Source organism: Homo sapiens, chromosome 16, assembly GCF_000001405.40.
Source record: "Homo sapiens chromosome 16, GRCh38.p14 Primary Assembly".
Taxonomy (NCBI): Eukaryota; Metazoa; Chordata; class Mammalia; order Primates; family Hominidae; genus Homo; species Homo sapiens.
This window is the reverse complement of record NC_000016.10, coordinates 85160993-85174730: the sequence shown is the minus strand read 5'-3', so window position 1 is coordinate 85174730 and position 13738 is coordinate 85160993. Positions and strand designations below refer to the sequence as shown.

Sequence of the window (13738 nt, the reverse complement as noted above, 5' to 3'; positions counted from 1 at the left end):
GTCCTAAGTTTAATCTGCTCGGCTACTTCTCGGCACTTTGCTCTGCTGGAAGTGGCTCCTTCCCTCCACTCCTCATGTGTGTCCCCCTCCCCCATGACACTGGAGGCTCTGTGCTTGCCACCAGATCCCCAGCATCTGGAACCGCGCCTGGCTCAGAGCTGGCGCTCCATAAATATTTGTTGAATGAATGGGAAGGAGGGGGAGGGAGGACGGAAGACCAGAAGGCTGCATTTCCGGCATTCTCCCGGCTGTCAATCGTGCTTCCCTGGGAGCTGAGAGCTGAGGCTTCTCCTTTCCCTCCCGTCCAGGGGAGCCTGAGACCCATCAGAGCTGTCCTCTCTGTAGGCAGACCTGCCCCAGCGGCCTCACCACCCACCTGGATTGCTGCCACCTCTGGGCCCTGAGCAGATCTCTTCTCAGTCCGTTCCACTTTCTTTCAAGAAATTGTTATTGCTCCCCTGAGCCTTCAACTTCAAATCCAACCTCCTATTCCTGATTTCAAGGCCTGGAGTTCACTCCAACCTTATTTCCTCTCATCCCCAACAGGCACCTCCCGCCCACGGAGGCTGAACAGGTCACCCCTGCTTCTGGGCCTGTTTGCCTGCCTCATTCCAACAAATTCTACCTCTTTTCTGAGGCTTGACTCAAGCTCCACCTCCTCCAGGCAGCTGGTGGAAGAGGGCGTAGGGAGCAGAAGCAGGTTCAAAACCCACCTCAGATACCCACTGGCTTTGTGTCGTCTGACTTCTCTGAGTCTTGGTTGACTCGTCTATAAAATGATATAAGAAGGCCTCAAGAGCCATGATAAGGAGTGAATGCACTAACTTGTTCTAGGGAACAGAGCACACATCCATACCACATGAAACCTCACCAAACCCATGCTGACCCCTTCTGGGCAGACACCAGCCTGCGTTCCCGTCCACACCAGACTACTGTCCACTCCCCCTTCCCAGCTGCCTGGGAAACGGCGGCTTCTTGTTTCCTGGCGTTCTTATCAGTCAAGGCCGACGGGCAGCATCCCATCAACTCCTGACACGTGAGCAAATCCACATGAGAAAATACACCAGAATTTGGATACTTTGCACAAAACCCTGTGTTTGAGGATTTGCAGAGAGTTCTGACTGCCCCTTGAAACACCACTGCCAGGTATAAAACTGGCACCCAGCCTGCAAGCCAGCACCTCGCACACAGAACCAACCCACATCCAAGAAGAATTTGCTCCTATGCACCAGGGTGGAGGACACGAGGGTCCCACTATATGTCAAGCATCTGACCCTCTGGGGGAACTTACATTTCCCCCAATCCATTGAACTCTCACCATGTCCCTACAAAGCAAGTGGTATGTTTCCACTTCTCAACCAAGGAAACTGACATTCCACCAGGATAAGAAACTAACTCACAGGTACTTAGCAAGAGAAAGGGCAGAATTTCGAAATCTGCCTCAGATACCTACTGACTGAGTGTTGTCTGACTTATCTGAGTCTTGGTTGACTCATCTATAAAATGAGATGAGAAGGCCTCGCAGCGCCATGGTAAGGAACAAATGAACTGGGGTCAGTCTTGCTCCAAAACTTGTTCTCTTCTCCCAGTTTCAGCCCTTTTGGGAACTGCAGCTCTTCTGACTCCCAGGGGCTGCACTGCTATATGCCGAAGAGGAGAGCTTCAGCATCTGTGACGGGAGACGACGTGCTCATCCAATTAAAACGAGAGACCATCCCACCAAAGCCACAAAGACAGCTTGAAAGTCCAAAGCTGTCATCAGTAGAAAAGGAAATCTGAGTAGAGCATGAAGACAGGGGCCGCGTATCGGGGGAGAGGTGGGCAAATCATGGCAGAGCGCACTTCCCGGGTGCAGCCACTGTAAGTGAACATGTCCCCCAGATAGTCCACCTCCGTGCCCCACACGTGCAGGTGGGAGGCAGGATCAGGAAGCTTTCAAAGGGTGGAATGACCCTTTCTGAACACGACAGCGCCACCTTTCCCATCCACACGTCCCTCTGCCCACACATGGCCAGCAGCTGCCACTACAGGCGTTTGATTAAAACAAGTCGCACTGACTGTCTTTGGCAGAAATGAGCATCCATGCCCCGGTGGCCGGGTTGGTGACTGCCACTCACAGACGCCTACATCTACCTCCCCAGACCCACCGGGGGCAGTTCCTGCTTGGTCCCTTGCAAAGCCGGATCCCAAATTAACTGAGCCCCGTCTGGCTCCTCGCGGGCGGGCAGCAGGAAGGCAGGCGCCTTATAAACAGGGAGAGTGCCAGGCCTCCCGTCTGCCTCCTGCACAGCTGACTTGCAGAGAGGAAAGACTCTCTTCCCGCTGGGGGAAAAGTCTGTTTAGGCCACTGTCCCTCAAATTCCACACCCCCATGTCTGGAACCCTATTTCCCTCCGCCGTAAAGCAAGCACGGTCTCAAAAGAACAGTGTGAACTTAGGTGGAAAACTCTGGAAAAGCCAAGCCACACGGGAGCTAGAACGGAGAGGAACTTCCACCTCTGATGTGTTTCAAACCGGGTGAGCACGGAGACCTCTCTGTGACCCGCACGGCTGGACTAATTACCAATGTTATCAGGCGGATGACAGACATGCCCCGAACTTCCTCTGTTTGATAGATCCCACTGCAAACACACCCAAGTTCAGGCCCGTGCCTGCTGTTCTCAGCAGTGCCCTATTCTTCCCTAAGACCACTCCTGATCCCCACTCCTCTGACCCCTGCCCCATGCCTCCAAGGTCAGCCAGGCCAACGTACCCACCAAGCACCAGCCCAGTGACTCAGGGAGGGTACCTCCCCCGGAACACCCCGCACAGAACCAGTGAAAACTCCTCCTTCAGAGTTTTTCTGAGGAACAGAAAACATCTCTCCCTTCCCTGAATGGATTTTGGAGGAAGCGTCTAAGATGAGATGAAAACTGCTGCTTACCTTCGTCGCTGCTGCCACCGGGGAGCTCCAGCTCATGGGTCCTTGGCGGGTGAGCCCTTGGCCCGCACACACCAGGGTCCCACACTCCACGCAAGCACCGATGATCAGCTGCTGTCCGTCATCCACCAACAGGCTGTGGCTTGCTCGCAGGGTGTATAGGAACAGGGGCAGCCGGGCCACCCGCACGGACTTCAGCCCCAGACACCGTTTCTTCTCCTGCTGACAAAAGAAGCACACGAACGTCTCCACCTGGTACTGCCGGGACCAGGCGCTGACAGCGTGGTGGGAGCTGCGGGCCTCATGCTGCAGCCACTGGGCCAGCAGGTCATGGTAGCAGAGCACACAGGTAGCCACCAGGCCGGTGGAGTCCACAGGCCTGGCACGAGGGGCAGGCGGGTACACGGTGAGGAAGGGGAAGAAGGGCTCCTTCTCGCCCAAGCGGCTGGCGGGGTTCACGTTGAGCTGGAACTCCTTCCCGGGGCCCAGCTCAGCCCCACAGATGTAGCAGATGGACACGGGGCCGCCCTGGGCCGACGCCGGCAGCTCGGAGAGGGCAGGGTCGGAGGCGGAGAAGGCCTGGTGGTACCTGCCCAGGAAGCCCTGCACGGAGGTGATGAGCTCCTCGTTCTGGCAGGCCCGGTACAGGGCCCAGACATCCTCCAGGACGCTGAAGCACTTGGGGCAGCTGCGGACTTCACAGCGCTTGTTGGGGCCCTGGGCGTTGGGCGGGCAGGGCAGGAGGCTGAGGAAGGGGAAATGCATGGCGCTCCTGGCGTTGCCGTTGAGGATCCTGGAGGGGACCGCCCGGGCATCCGGGGTACAGTCCTCCCCACAGAGGTAGCAGGCCTCTCGCAGGGCCCCGGAGGGCAGGCCCTCTTCCCTCGGGAGCCTCCTGCCCTTAGAGGCCATGCCGGGGGCGTGGCTGTCCAGGGGCACCACATAGAGTCGCTGCAGGACTGGCACGTTGGCCAGCTCGAAGCTCTGCCACTGCTGCGTGAGGGAGGAGAAGCAGCTGGCGCACACCAAGGTACTGCCGCCCTCGCTGATGGGCTGTGCCCCTGGGGGCGGGCTGTGCAGCCACAGGAAGGGGAAGAACGGGGCCTGAGCCAGCTTCTCCTGCTTCTGCACGTGGACCTGGTGGTGCGAGGCCGGGGACAGCGGGGCCCCGCAGATGTAGCAGCAAAGGCCTTCTGCTGGTGCCGCCCGGCTGTCCTGGAGAGCCCGGGGGACACGGCCACTGTTCTTCTCTTTGGGGTTGCAGACGCCTGGGAAAGGCTGTTCCTTGTGGTCCTCTTCCCCACTGGTGATGTTGATGTCACTGTCCTCGGAGGTGCAGAAGCCCCGTAGGGTCTCCCCCAGCGGCCTGCTCTCCAGGGTCTTAGTGGCTCTGCCAGAGGGAGGCCCTTTCATGCCGTCTGCAGGGGCCTCTTGGACAAGAGGGCCTTGCCAGGGATCCTGAATGCTCCTCAGGACGCTGGCCCGGGCCTCGGGAACCCAGTGCCTCCCAACCCCCTTCCGCCGGCGCCTAACCCCGGACTTGGGCTCCCCATCCGCGTGGGCCTTCGCGGGGAGCCCCTCCTCCTCCGCGCGCCCCTGCGCCGAGGCCTCTGCGCCCTGTCCCGGAGCGGGTCCCGGAGCCGGCCTCCACTCCTGGCCGCGCCCCCCGCGAGGCCCTGGCCCTGGGGCCCCGTCCTGGTGGGGGCTGGCGGCGTCCCGCGCGGGCGGGTCGGGCTCGGAAAGGGGGTCGGTGTCCGACAGCTCCGACAGGTCGGAGTCTCGCGTCTCCTCCGCGGCCCCGCGCAGCCGGGGGCCGCCACCGTCGTCCTCGTCGTCGTCGCCGGTGGCGCTGCCCAGCGCGTAGGCGACGTTCCACTCGCGGGGGGCCCCGGCGCCGCCACGGCGGCCGCCTGCGCCCGCGTCGCACTGGTGGGGCCGCTTGAGCCAGTACATGCGCTTGTCCACCGGCGTGCGGGCGCGCTCGAAGGCGGCCCACTGCTCGCCCAGGAAGCAGCGGCACACGGCGCACACCAACACGCAGCCGTCGGCCGGGGACAGCTCGCGCGCGCCGGGCGCCGGCTCCTGCTGCTGCAGGAACGGGAAGAAGGGCTGCGCCGGGGTCCCCGCGCCCGCCGCCGGCTGCTTCACCTGCAGCTTCAGCTCCTTGCCGCGCCCGATGCCGCCGCCGCAGATGAAGCAGGAGAGCGGCGCGCCGCCCGCAGCCCGCTCGCCCACGGCTGCCATGAGCCGCTGCTTGCGGGAGACCGGGGCCGGCCGCCCGCTCATGGCCGCGCCGCGCCGCCCGCCCGGGCCCCCGCGCGCCCCGGGCCGCCCTCAGCTCCCGCCCAGGCCGCCGCCGCCGCGCCCAACTTGGAGCATGTGTGCGCGCCGCAAAGTTTGGCGGCGGGCGGCCGGCGCGGGCGCGGGCGCACGGCCCCTCGCAGCGGCGCCCCCCCGGGCCTGCCGAGCACCCCCCGGCGGCGGCGCGGGCCGAGGCGGCGCCGCGGCGAGCGCGCCCGGAACGCGGCGGCGGCGGCGGCGGCGGCGGCGGCGGCGGCGGGGCCCGGGCGGCTGGAGCGGCAGCCGCATGTGCGAGCTCCGGCGCCTGCCAAGGCGTGGGGTCATTTAATTGGGGAGGAGGGGGCGGGGCGGCGGCGGGCGGGAGGGGCGGGGAGGGGCGGAGGGCGGGCGCGCGGCGGGCGGGGGAATCCCTCCCCGCGCGCTCCCTCCCCCCGCCCTCCTCCTCCAAGCCTGCCTCCCTCCCGCCCGCCGCCGCCTCCCCCCGCGTCCCAAACTGCGCACAATAGCGGCCGGCTCCTCTATCTATTTTGTGTCCAGCCGGAGCCGCGCGCGATGATTCATTGCCCCAATTAGGGGCTCTCTGCAGCGCGCCCGGCTCTAGCCGTCTGAAGGGTCTCCTGGGGGACCCGCCGAAACCCATCAGCGGCTGGAGCTGGTCTTTAAGTAAAGGTCAATCAGGACGCGGGAGGAGCCAGGTAAGGACGCTGCGGGCGCCCCTGGAGGCGGAGGAACCCCCCACCCCAGGGCTGCAGTGAGGGCAGCCCCAGCCTAGATGCAGGCACCCTGCCGGGTTCGTTCAGGGTTGTCCGACCCTCTCAAAAGGGGGGACCAAGCGAGAAAGCCATTTACAGTCCCGAACAGGCCCGAGTTGGGGATACCATTCAGGGCCCCGCGTTCTAATTTTGGAGAGAGAAAAGAGGAGCCGTCCCCGTCTCCTAGAACCCGTTAGTGAATGCATCATCCTGCGGACAGTCTGAGGCCTGCTCTGCCCCTTCCCACCATCGACAGGGGTCACTGGGTCACCAGCAGAGGTAGAAAGGGTCCTGTGTGTCCCAAGGTCAGTGAATCAACCTCTCTGGGTCCTGATTTTATTCCCTTCAACAGGAGCTGCAGCAGGGGATTAACTGTTTCCGTGTCTTTATTGTGCATGTGTAGAGATCCATTGTATTTATTTAACAAGCAGAGGGACTTGCGGTGCGAGGCGCTTAGGGTTAACTGTGGTGATCAGCCCCATTTCACATACAGGAAAGAAGTGGCATTGAGTGTTAAGTTTTCGTCCAAAGGGGCTAAGCAGAATTCAGACCCAGGACGTCGGGCTCCAGGCCCTACTCTTGACCACCAGGGCGAGTAGCCGTGCGAGGCAAACGTCTGGTCCACGTCGCCAGTCTGCTGATGGGGACGGGACCGTCCATGGCAGGACAAGGCCAGGATCCCTGGATCCTCCCGGATGATCTGGCTCAGGCCCTGGTCCAATCTAGGCATCTCCAGACCTCTCATTCCCCATCTGTGAAATGGCACCCCTTCCAGCTTCAAAATTCTACTAGTGTCTGACTTCTGGGCAGTTTAGAGCTTCCTCATTTGCAAGCAGCAGCCCAGAATCAGCCTGGGGACAAAGGTGCCCGGTGGTCCCCTCCACCCTCTGGGACACTGAAATGTAAATAAAACTGGGCTTCCTCTTGGCAAGGAAGAGGGCCATGCATTGTAAACAAACGCAAGAAGAAGGCCTCCGGAATCCCTGGGGGATATTCCAGGGCTCAACCCTTAGTCCAAGGGTTAACAGGAAATCATCATTGGTTGGGACTTTGGGCCTTCACCCTGGCCCAGAGGAATGCTGTGTCAGCAAAACTGTCCTGAAGGAATGTTGGGAGCGGGGCAGGGGGCTTCTCGGCTCCTGGCATTTTTAATACCTGGAGAGAGGAGGAGGGCTGATTAGGAAAAGTTTAAAGGACAATGTCTGTTGAATTGCATCCTTGCACAGTTAAAGAGGGACTATTAGGTCCCACACAGACCGAGAGGTTGCTAGTAAGACACTGCCCGGCTGGGGACATGCAGGTCAGCGGGTGAGTTAAACATGGGTTCCTTAGGGCTCGGCACGTGCTGTCCCTTCTGCTTCAAATGCATTTTGGGCTCATCTGTATGGCCATGGTCACAGCATCATCCTCAGAGGCCTCCCTTTCCTCTCTAGAGCAGGTGCTGTTCCGCGCTTCTCATCCCAGCTCCCCAGCGCAGGAGTTTGCCATTGATTTTATTGATTTTTCCGTCCCCTGCTCCTGTCTGCCCCGCCCCGGAATCCTGGGTGCTCCCTCTCAAGGGCAGGAGCTAGGTCTGTCTTGCTCACTGGAGATCTGGGGCCTGGCTCAGTGCCTTGGTCCCACACACCTGGGTCTCCATCCTGTTCTGTCCCTTGCCAGCTGTGTGAGCCTTGGGTGGACTTCCTGGCACACCACCCCTCGGTTTTCTGCTCCGTACAATGGGGGTTGTTAAATAAATAGGGATTTGGGCACAGGCATGGGCTCTGGCATGCTATAGGTGACCGTGTACGTGTGTTGCCTCTTCCTCTTTCCAGTGGATGAAGAGGTTCTCCTGCCGCCTGTCCGCACTGCAGGGCACACTGCAGGGCGGCAGGGAGGGCCACTGTGCTGAGTTCACACAGAGTCTGAGGGAGAAGGATCACGGGGCCAACCAGACCAAAAGAGAGAGCTAGGGTTTTCTTGGCTGAGCCGGAATCCTCCAGGAGGTATTGCACCATACATATGCAGGTGTGAGTGTGCGCGTATCTGAATGTGCATGATTCTGCATTTGTTAGATTATATGTGTGTGTGTACATGTGCATAGTTTGTATGTGCACCCTGTGTGTGAGCATGTGTGTATGAGTTCACCTGTGTGTTTCTGTGTGTGTGCCTGTGTGTGCATGTCAAGCGGGCCAGGAGTGGGAGTGGGAGGCGTCCAGCTGAATGTTTTTCTTCTCTTCAATGACCCAATGACTCAGGAAAGTCCCCTGGAACACGTCTTGGGAGCCAGGAAGCAGGGTGAACACAAATCAGAGGAGGAGGCCGGTGATGATGGCTGCTCCTCTGGGGGGATGACATGGGGGCAGGGCCACTGCCACAGCTTGACACAGCAGACTGACATCACACAACCGTTTACTAGCTGTGTGGCTTTCGGCTTGCTCGTTTAGGTCTCTGAGCCTCAGTTTCCCCATCTGTAAAGCAGAGCCAACTTGACAGTGCGCAAAGAGGGTGAACTGAGCCAATGCTGGTAAAGTACATTGCACTGGGATGCAGAAAAACAGTGATATAAGCACACACAGCATGTGTAGACATTAAACACACAGCACACCCATTCAGTGTGAAGCACACACCAGGACCTATGCTTTGCAGGTGCCAACTCATCAAATCTTTCCCCAAAGCCCACGAGGTAGGTGGTGCTGTACCCGCAAGTTTAGGGGTGAGGAGACTGGGGCATAGGGGAGGGAAGTCACAGGCCCAGGGTCACACAGCGTGGTGGAGTTGGGACTGGCACCCCGGCCGCATGCCTCTGAAACCCTCTGCTTTGCTGGCTAGTGAGATTCACTTTCTCTTCAATCCTGCAATGCTAGGACAGGAACAGCCTAGAATCTGGTCCCCCCTCTCCTCACATGTGTCCCCAGTTTCATGCCAAAGGAAACAGGCCCTCAAACGTGCCTGTCTGGGTACAAAACGGGCCAAGTTTGTGCCAGGAGATGAGAAGAAATGTCAGGGTGCATTGGCATGAACTTCATGCACCAACGTAGACTTGAAGTCCCCGTTTCTAATGGAAATGGGCAAAAGGCTCCAACAGGACTAAGCCATCCAAACATCCCTGCCAAGTGCTGCTGGGGCCACAGCCTGACCATCCCCAGCAGAGCCATCTCCTGGCTTCCCTCTAAGTCCTACACCTCACCCTGCAGCTGGAGAGAGGGTGCCAGGCTCCCTCCAGACCACACACTGCACAGCCCGGCTCTTCATCTTTCAATTGTAGGACTTTAAAAGAATTGACAGATGCTCACAGACAGACCTTGCATTGGGAGCAGGTAAAAAATGCCCACCTGGATTCTGCAGGAGACAAGGAGGCCGTCAGCATGGAACACCTGGGCACATCTCAGATTTGCAGCTACCTGTAGGTTCGTCTTAGCCCAGAAACCGCAGGTATCTGCCCTCATCCTGCCCAGGAGAACTCATTTCCAGCCTCCAAATGCTTAACCACACGTTGTTTTGTATCTCTGTCTCTTTGCCTGCCTCTCCTACTGGGGCAGAGCCTGAGCTGGCTTGCCTTGCCCTGCCCCACAGTTTCACAAGGATGTGGACATGGTTGGGGACCAATCAGTGCTTGAACCAGGGACGCCGCTAGACTCTATCCAAAACCTCACTCATTATGCCTTCCAAGTTCCAGAATCATCCAGCTGCCTGGCCAGCTTCTGCTGCGCCATCTTTTATTCCTCTTGAGTGCCAGCAATCAAGATTAAGCTCTGTCACGTGCCCCTGGCTTTTCCCAACCCTGCAACCCGACTTCCCTCCTCAGTGGGCCTTTTGCCCTTTTCCTCCTTCCTCTAAACTATGCCTGCGCCTTTGGCATCCCGCCCAGGACCCATTTACCTTCTTAGGCTGGTCCATCCTCTTCTTTTCAGAGACAACGTGTGCTGTGTTTGGCCTCTGGCTCACTGGGGACCAGAAAAACAAAATTTATCATCTGACTGCCCTATTTTTTCTTTTTTCTTTCTTTTTTTCTTTTTCTTTTTTTTTAAATTCTTTTTTATTCTTTTTGCCTAAGAACGAAGCAAGCCCTTCTCTGCTATCCTCAGAAAGAGCTTCAGACATGGCAGGCCACTGGCAAAAATATATCCTCCTTCTCAGAGGGAAAGAATGTAACTGTTAACAACGAAAAATCCCTGGGATTTGTGGAGGCCTTGGGCTTATGAACCGGTTCACCTCCATGCACTCATGTGACACAGCAGTACATGGAGGCATCACATCCATTTTAAAGACAGAGAAACTGAGGCTCCAAGAAGCAGGGATTTCCCCAGGGGAACCATTCTTGGAATCAGGATAAGTTGCCAGCTTTGGGGCTGATGAAATTTTGTTGCATTTTCTGTGCATTTATTGTGCTAATTTGTTAAATATAAACATGAAACACATACAGCATGTTTTGTAGCCGTGTCTTAGCATCTTGTTGCCTTTTCATTTTTTATTTTATTTTTATTTATTTATTTATTTTTGAGACGGAGCCTCACTGTCACCCAGGCTGGAGTGCAGTGGTGCAATCCCAGCTCATCACAATCTCTGCCTCCCAGATCCAAGCAAGTCTCCTGCCTCAGCCTCCCAAGTAGCTGGGACTACAAGGACACGCCACCACACCCAGCTAATTTGTGTATTTTTAGTAGAGACAGAGTTTCACCATGTTGGCCAGGCTGGTCTTGAACTCCTGACCTCAAGTGATCCACCCGCCTTGGCCTCCCAAAGTGCTGGAATTATAGACATGAGCCACCGCGCCCAGCCTTGTTGCCTTTTTAAATACAGGAGTTTCTGAGCATGGAAGTGGGTGGGCCATTTTCTATCCCGGGGCCTGAGACAACCTAGGCAGAAACATTCTGTAAACTGCAAAGTGCCTTTTTAAACAATGACGGTTTGCATTACACAATTAAGTGTCAGAGCACGGGCTACAGATTCACAGAGCAGAATCGGGTGCTCTAAAACCTCACCTTGCTCCCCTAAGCCTGAAAAAGAATCCAGCAGAGAATAGCCCAGTCTCCCCCTCCAGGAGACATCATCCCCCACCCCAGCCCTCACCATCTTGAAATCCAAGGATATTGCCATGAACTTCAGGGCCTCATAAACCCTTTTGATAAATGATTGCTGGAGCTGACCTGCCACTGGGGATGATGGGACAAACACTCACATAAATCTGGAGTGGACTCAAAGACTCCCTTGCCGCCGGCATCTCAACAGGCCCCTGATTTGCAGCATGAAATTCACAGCAGCCATTTATGTGGTTTGTCCCCAAGCTTCCCAGCCACGGAGGTTTCTTGGTGGGGCACAGTGGGCGGGGTGGGGGCACAAGCAAAGGGAGACAGAAGCCAGAGCAACCGAGAAGTGCCATGAGGGCACCCGGCATGCAGTCGGCGCCCAATACTAACCAGCGTGCAACCGAGAAGTGCCATGAGGGCACCCGGCATGCAGTCGGCGCCCAATACTAACCAGCGTGCAACCGAGAAGTGCCGTGAGGGCACCCGGCATGCAGTCGGCGCCCAATACTAACCAGCGTGCAACCGAGAAGTGCCGTGAGGGCACCCGGCATGCAGTCGGTGCTCAATACTAACCAGCGTGCAACCGAGAAGTGCCACGAAGGCACCCGGCATACAGTCGGTGCTCAGTAGTAATCAGCGTACATCCTGCAATGACAATAGCTGATGTTTAACTAGAAGCCAGGTACCATGTTCACAGCTGATAGTCATATTATTATCCCATCTGGCTCTCTCAACAGCCTAAAAAGTAGGCACGATTACACTCTTACAGACAAGGACACTGAGGCTTGGAACAGCAAATCCATGTCCCCAGTGTCAGAGCTGGGAAGTGTTAAAGCTGGACTGAGACCCGATCTGGCCGGAGCGCCTCACTCTCATCCGCCCTGCTGTGTGCTCAGCTCCTGGCCTGTTGGGCCACCTTCCCAGATCCTTCCTGCTAGAGGCGTCCTTGTCCCTCAAGGGGTCCTGCCAGGGAGGCTGATGGTCAGGCCTCGCTGCAGGCCTTCGAGTCCTGCCTATGGCTTCATCAGCGGCCGCCAACTTCAGGACAGGTTTCCCCAGCTCTCTGGCACTGGAATACTCAGTGGGCCGTGGCAGGTCCCCCGAGCTGCCGAACAGGAGGGCGGTGAAGTCAACAGCAGCAGATTATTTCCAGCTGCTGCTCTGAGTCACCGAAGCATGTTCCAAACCCAGCCGCCAGCTCGACTTCCCTGGCCTCTGATTTATGCGGCTGGTGGGTCGTTGCTGGACTCACGGATGGGGACGTGAGGTGGGACTGAGGCATGTGTCTGACGCTACACTGGGGTGTCATTTTTAAAAAACCTTTTTACACTGAAGTGTCGCCTCCGTACAGAAAAGTGTGCATCTTCATACGTGTACAGCAAGCTGCATTTTCACAAACAGAACATATCTGTGTAACTAGCACCCAGAAAGAAGGCATGTCCAGACTCCCAGTAGGCCCCCATGTACCTGCTTCCAGACCCTCACCTACCCGCAAGGGTAACGACTTGAGCCAGGACTGCAGGCATCTTGATTTCTAACACCAAGAACATTTTATTTTTTAGCAGCTTTATTAAGATATCATTCAAATACCACACAATCCGCCCATTTAAAGTGTACAATTCAATGGCTTTTAGTATATTTACAGAGTTTTCAGCCATCACCACAATCCATTTTAGAACATTTTCATCACCCCCAAAAAGAAACCTCATACCCTTTAGTTCTCACCCTCAACACCTCCAGCGCACCCCCACCCGCTCCCTGGCAATCAATAATCTACTTTCTGTCTCTGTGGATTTGCGTGTTCCGGACAGTTCGTATAAATGGGATCATACAACACGTGGTCTTTTGTGACTGGCTTCTTTCACCCAGCATAATGTTTTCAGACCTTCACGTTGTAGCCCATGTCCGCACAGGCTGTTTTTGTACCTTTGCTAAGTGGAAGTGTATCATATGTACCCTTCGGGTCTGGCTTTTTGCTCTGCATTAGATCTGTGCAATTCTTCCCTGTTTTTTCCTGAAGCAGTACATTGTTCTTTTTGATTGCTGTATAGTAGTCTATGGATGAATATTCCGTCATTTGTTCATCCATTCCGCCATTGGTGAGCTTTTGGGGAGTTTGCATTTGGGACTTACATGATTGTGTTTTTCTGAACATTCTATTTCATGTCTTTGGTTGAAAACACAAAATGCAGCCTGGGTGTGGTGGCTCGCATCTGTAATCTCAGCACTTTGGGAGGTTGAGGCAGGAGGATGGCTTGAGCCTAGGTGTTCGAGACCAGTCTGGGCACTATAGTGAGACCTCATTTCTGCAAAATTAAAAATTAACTGGTCAGGCTGGGCGCGGTGGCTCACGCCTGTAATCCCAGCACTTTGGGAGGCCAACGTGGATGGATTATGAGGTCAGGAGTTCAAGACCAGCCTGGCCAAGATGGTGAAAGCCCGTCTCTACTAAAAATACAAAAATTAGCCAGGTGTGGTAGTGGGCACCAGTAATCCCAGCTACTTGGGAGGCTGAGGCAGAGAATTGCTTGAACCCAAGAGGCGGAGGTTGCAGTGAGCCGAGATCGCAGCCACTGCACTCCAGCCTGGGCAACAGAGCGAGACTCCATCTCAAAAACAAAAAAATTAGCTGGTCATGGTGGCGAATGCCTGTAATCCCAGGTACTGGGGAGACTGAGGCAGGAAGACTGCTTGAGCCCAGGAGTTCGAGGCTGCAGAGAGCTATGATCGTGCCACTGTGTTCCAGCCTGGGTGAC

General features: G+C 56.7%; 1 protein-coding gene and 1 long non-coding RNA gene across 8 annotated transcripts in view, besides 2 other annotated features; one reads left to right on the top strand and one right to left on the bottom strand.

Annotated features, from left to right (window-relative positions):
* Nucleotides 1–5219, bottom strand: part of GSE1 (Gse1 coiled-coil protein) — a 506689-nt gene extending 501470 nt beyond the window's left edge. For 3 of the 6 annotated variants that reach the window (XR_001751877.2, XM_047433837.1, XM_017023084.2), the window contains exon 1: nt 2924–5219. Coding sequence is in view for 5 of the 6 variants with exons in the window: in XM_047433837.1 (XP_047289793.1) it covers nt 2924–5206 (2283 nt within the window). In the remaining variant the exon portion in view is untranslated. The remainder of the gene's footprint in view (nt 1–2923) is intronic. The other 3 variants (XM_005255859.6, XM_005255860.4, XM_005255861.6) reach the window with 1 other exon arrangement.
* Nucleotides 2325–3036: an enhancer, noted in NCBI's record as "H3K27ac-H3K4me1 hESC enhancer chr16:85205301-85206012 (GRCh37/hg19 assembly coordinates)". NCBI's record gives its function as "activates a minimal SCP1, AML or CMV promoter by ChIP-STARR-seq in naive H9 embryonic stem cells {active_cell/tissue: H9 hESC(naive)}" and the evidence as "EXISTENCE:reporter gene assay evidence [ECO:0000049][PMID:30033119]".
* Nucleotides 3037–3746: an enhancer, noted in NCBI's record as "H3K27ac-H3K4me1 hESC enhancer chr16:85204591-85205300 (GRCh37/hg19 assembly coordinates)". NCBI's record gives its function as "activates a minimal SCP1, AML or CMV promoter by ChIP-STARR-seq in naive and primed H9 embryonic stem cells {active_cell/tissue: H9 hESC(naive and primed)}" and the evidence as "EXISTENCE:reporter gene assay evidence [ECO:0000049][PMID:30033119]".
* The window catches only part of LOC105371382 (uncharacterized), a 26357-nt gene continuing 18323 nt past the window's right edge, over nt 5705–13738 (top strand). For both annotated transcript variants that reach the window (XR_933839.3, XR_002957894.2), the window contains exon 1: nt 5705–5916. This is a non-coding gene — a long non-coding RNA (uncharacterized LOC105371382). The remainder of the gene's footprint in view (nt 5917–13738) is intronic.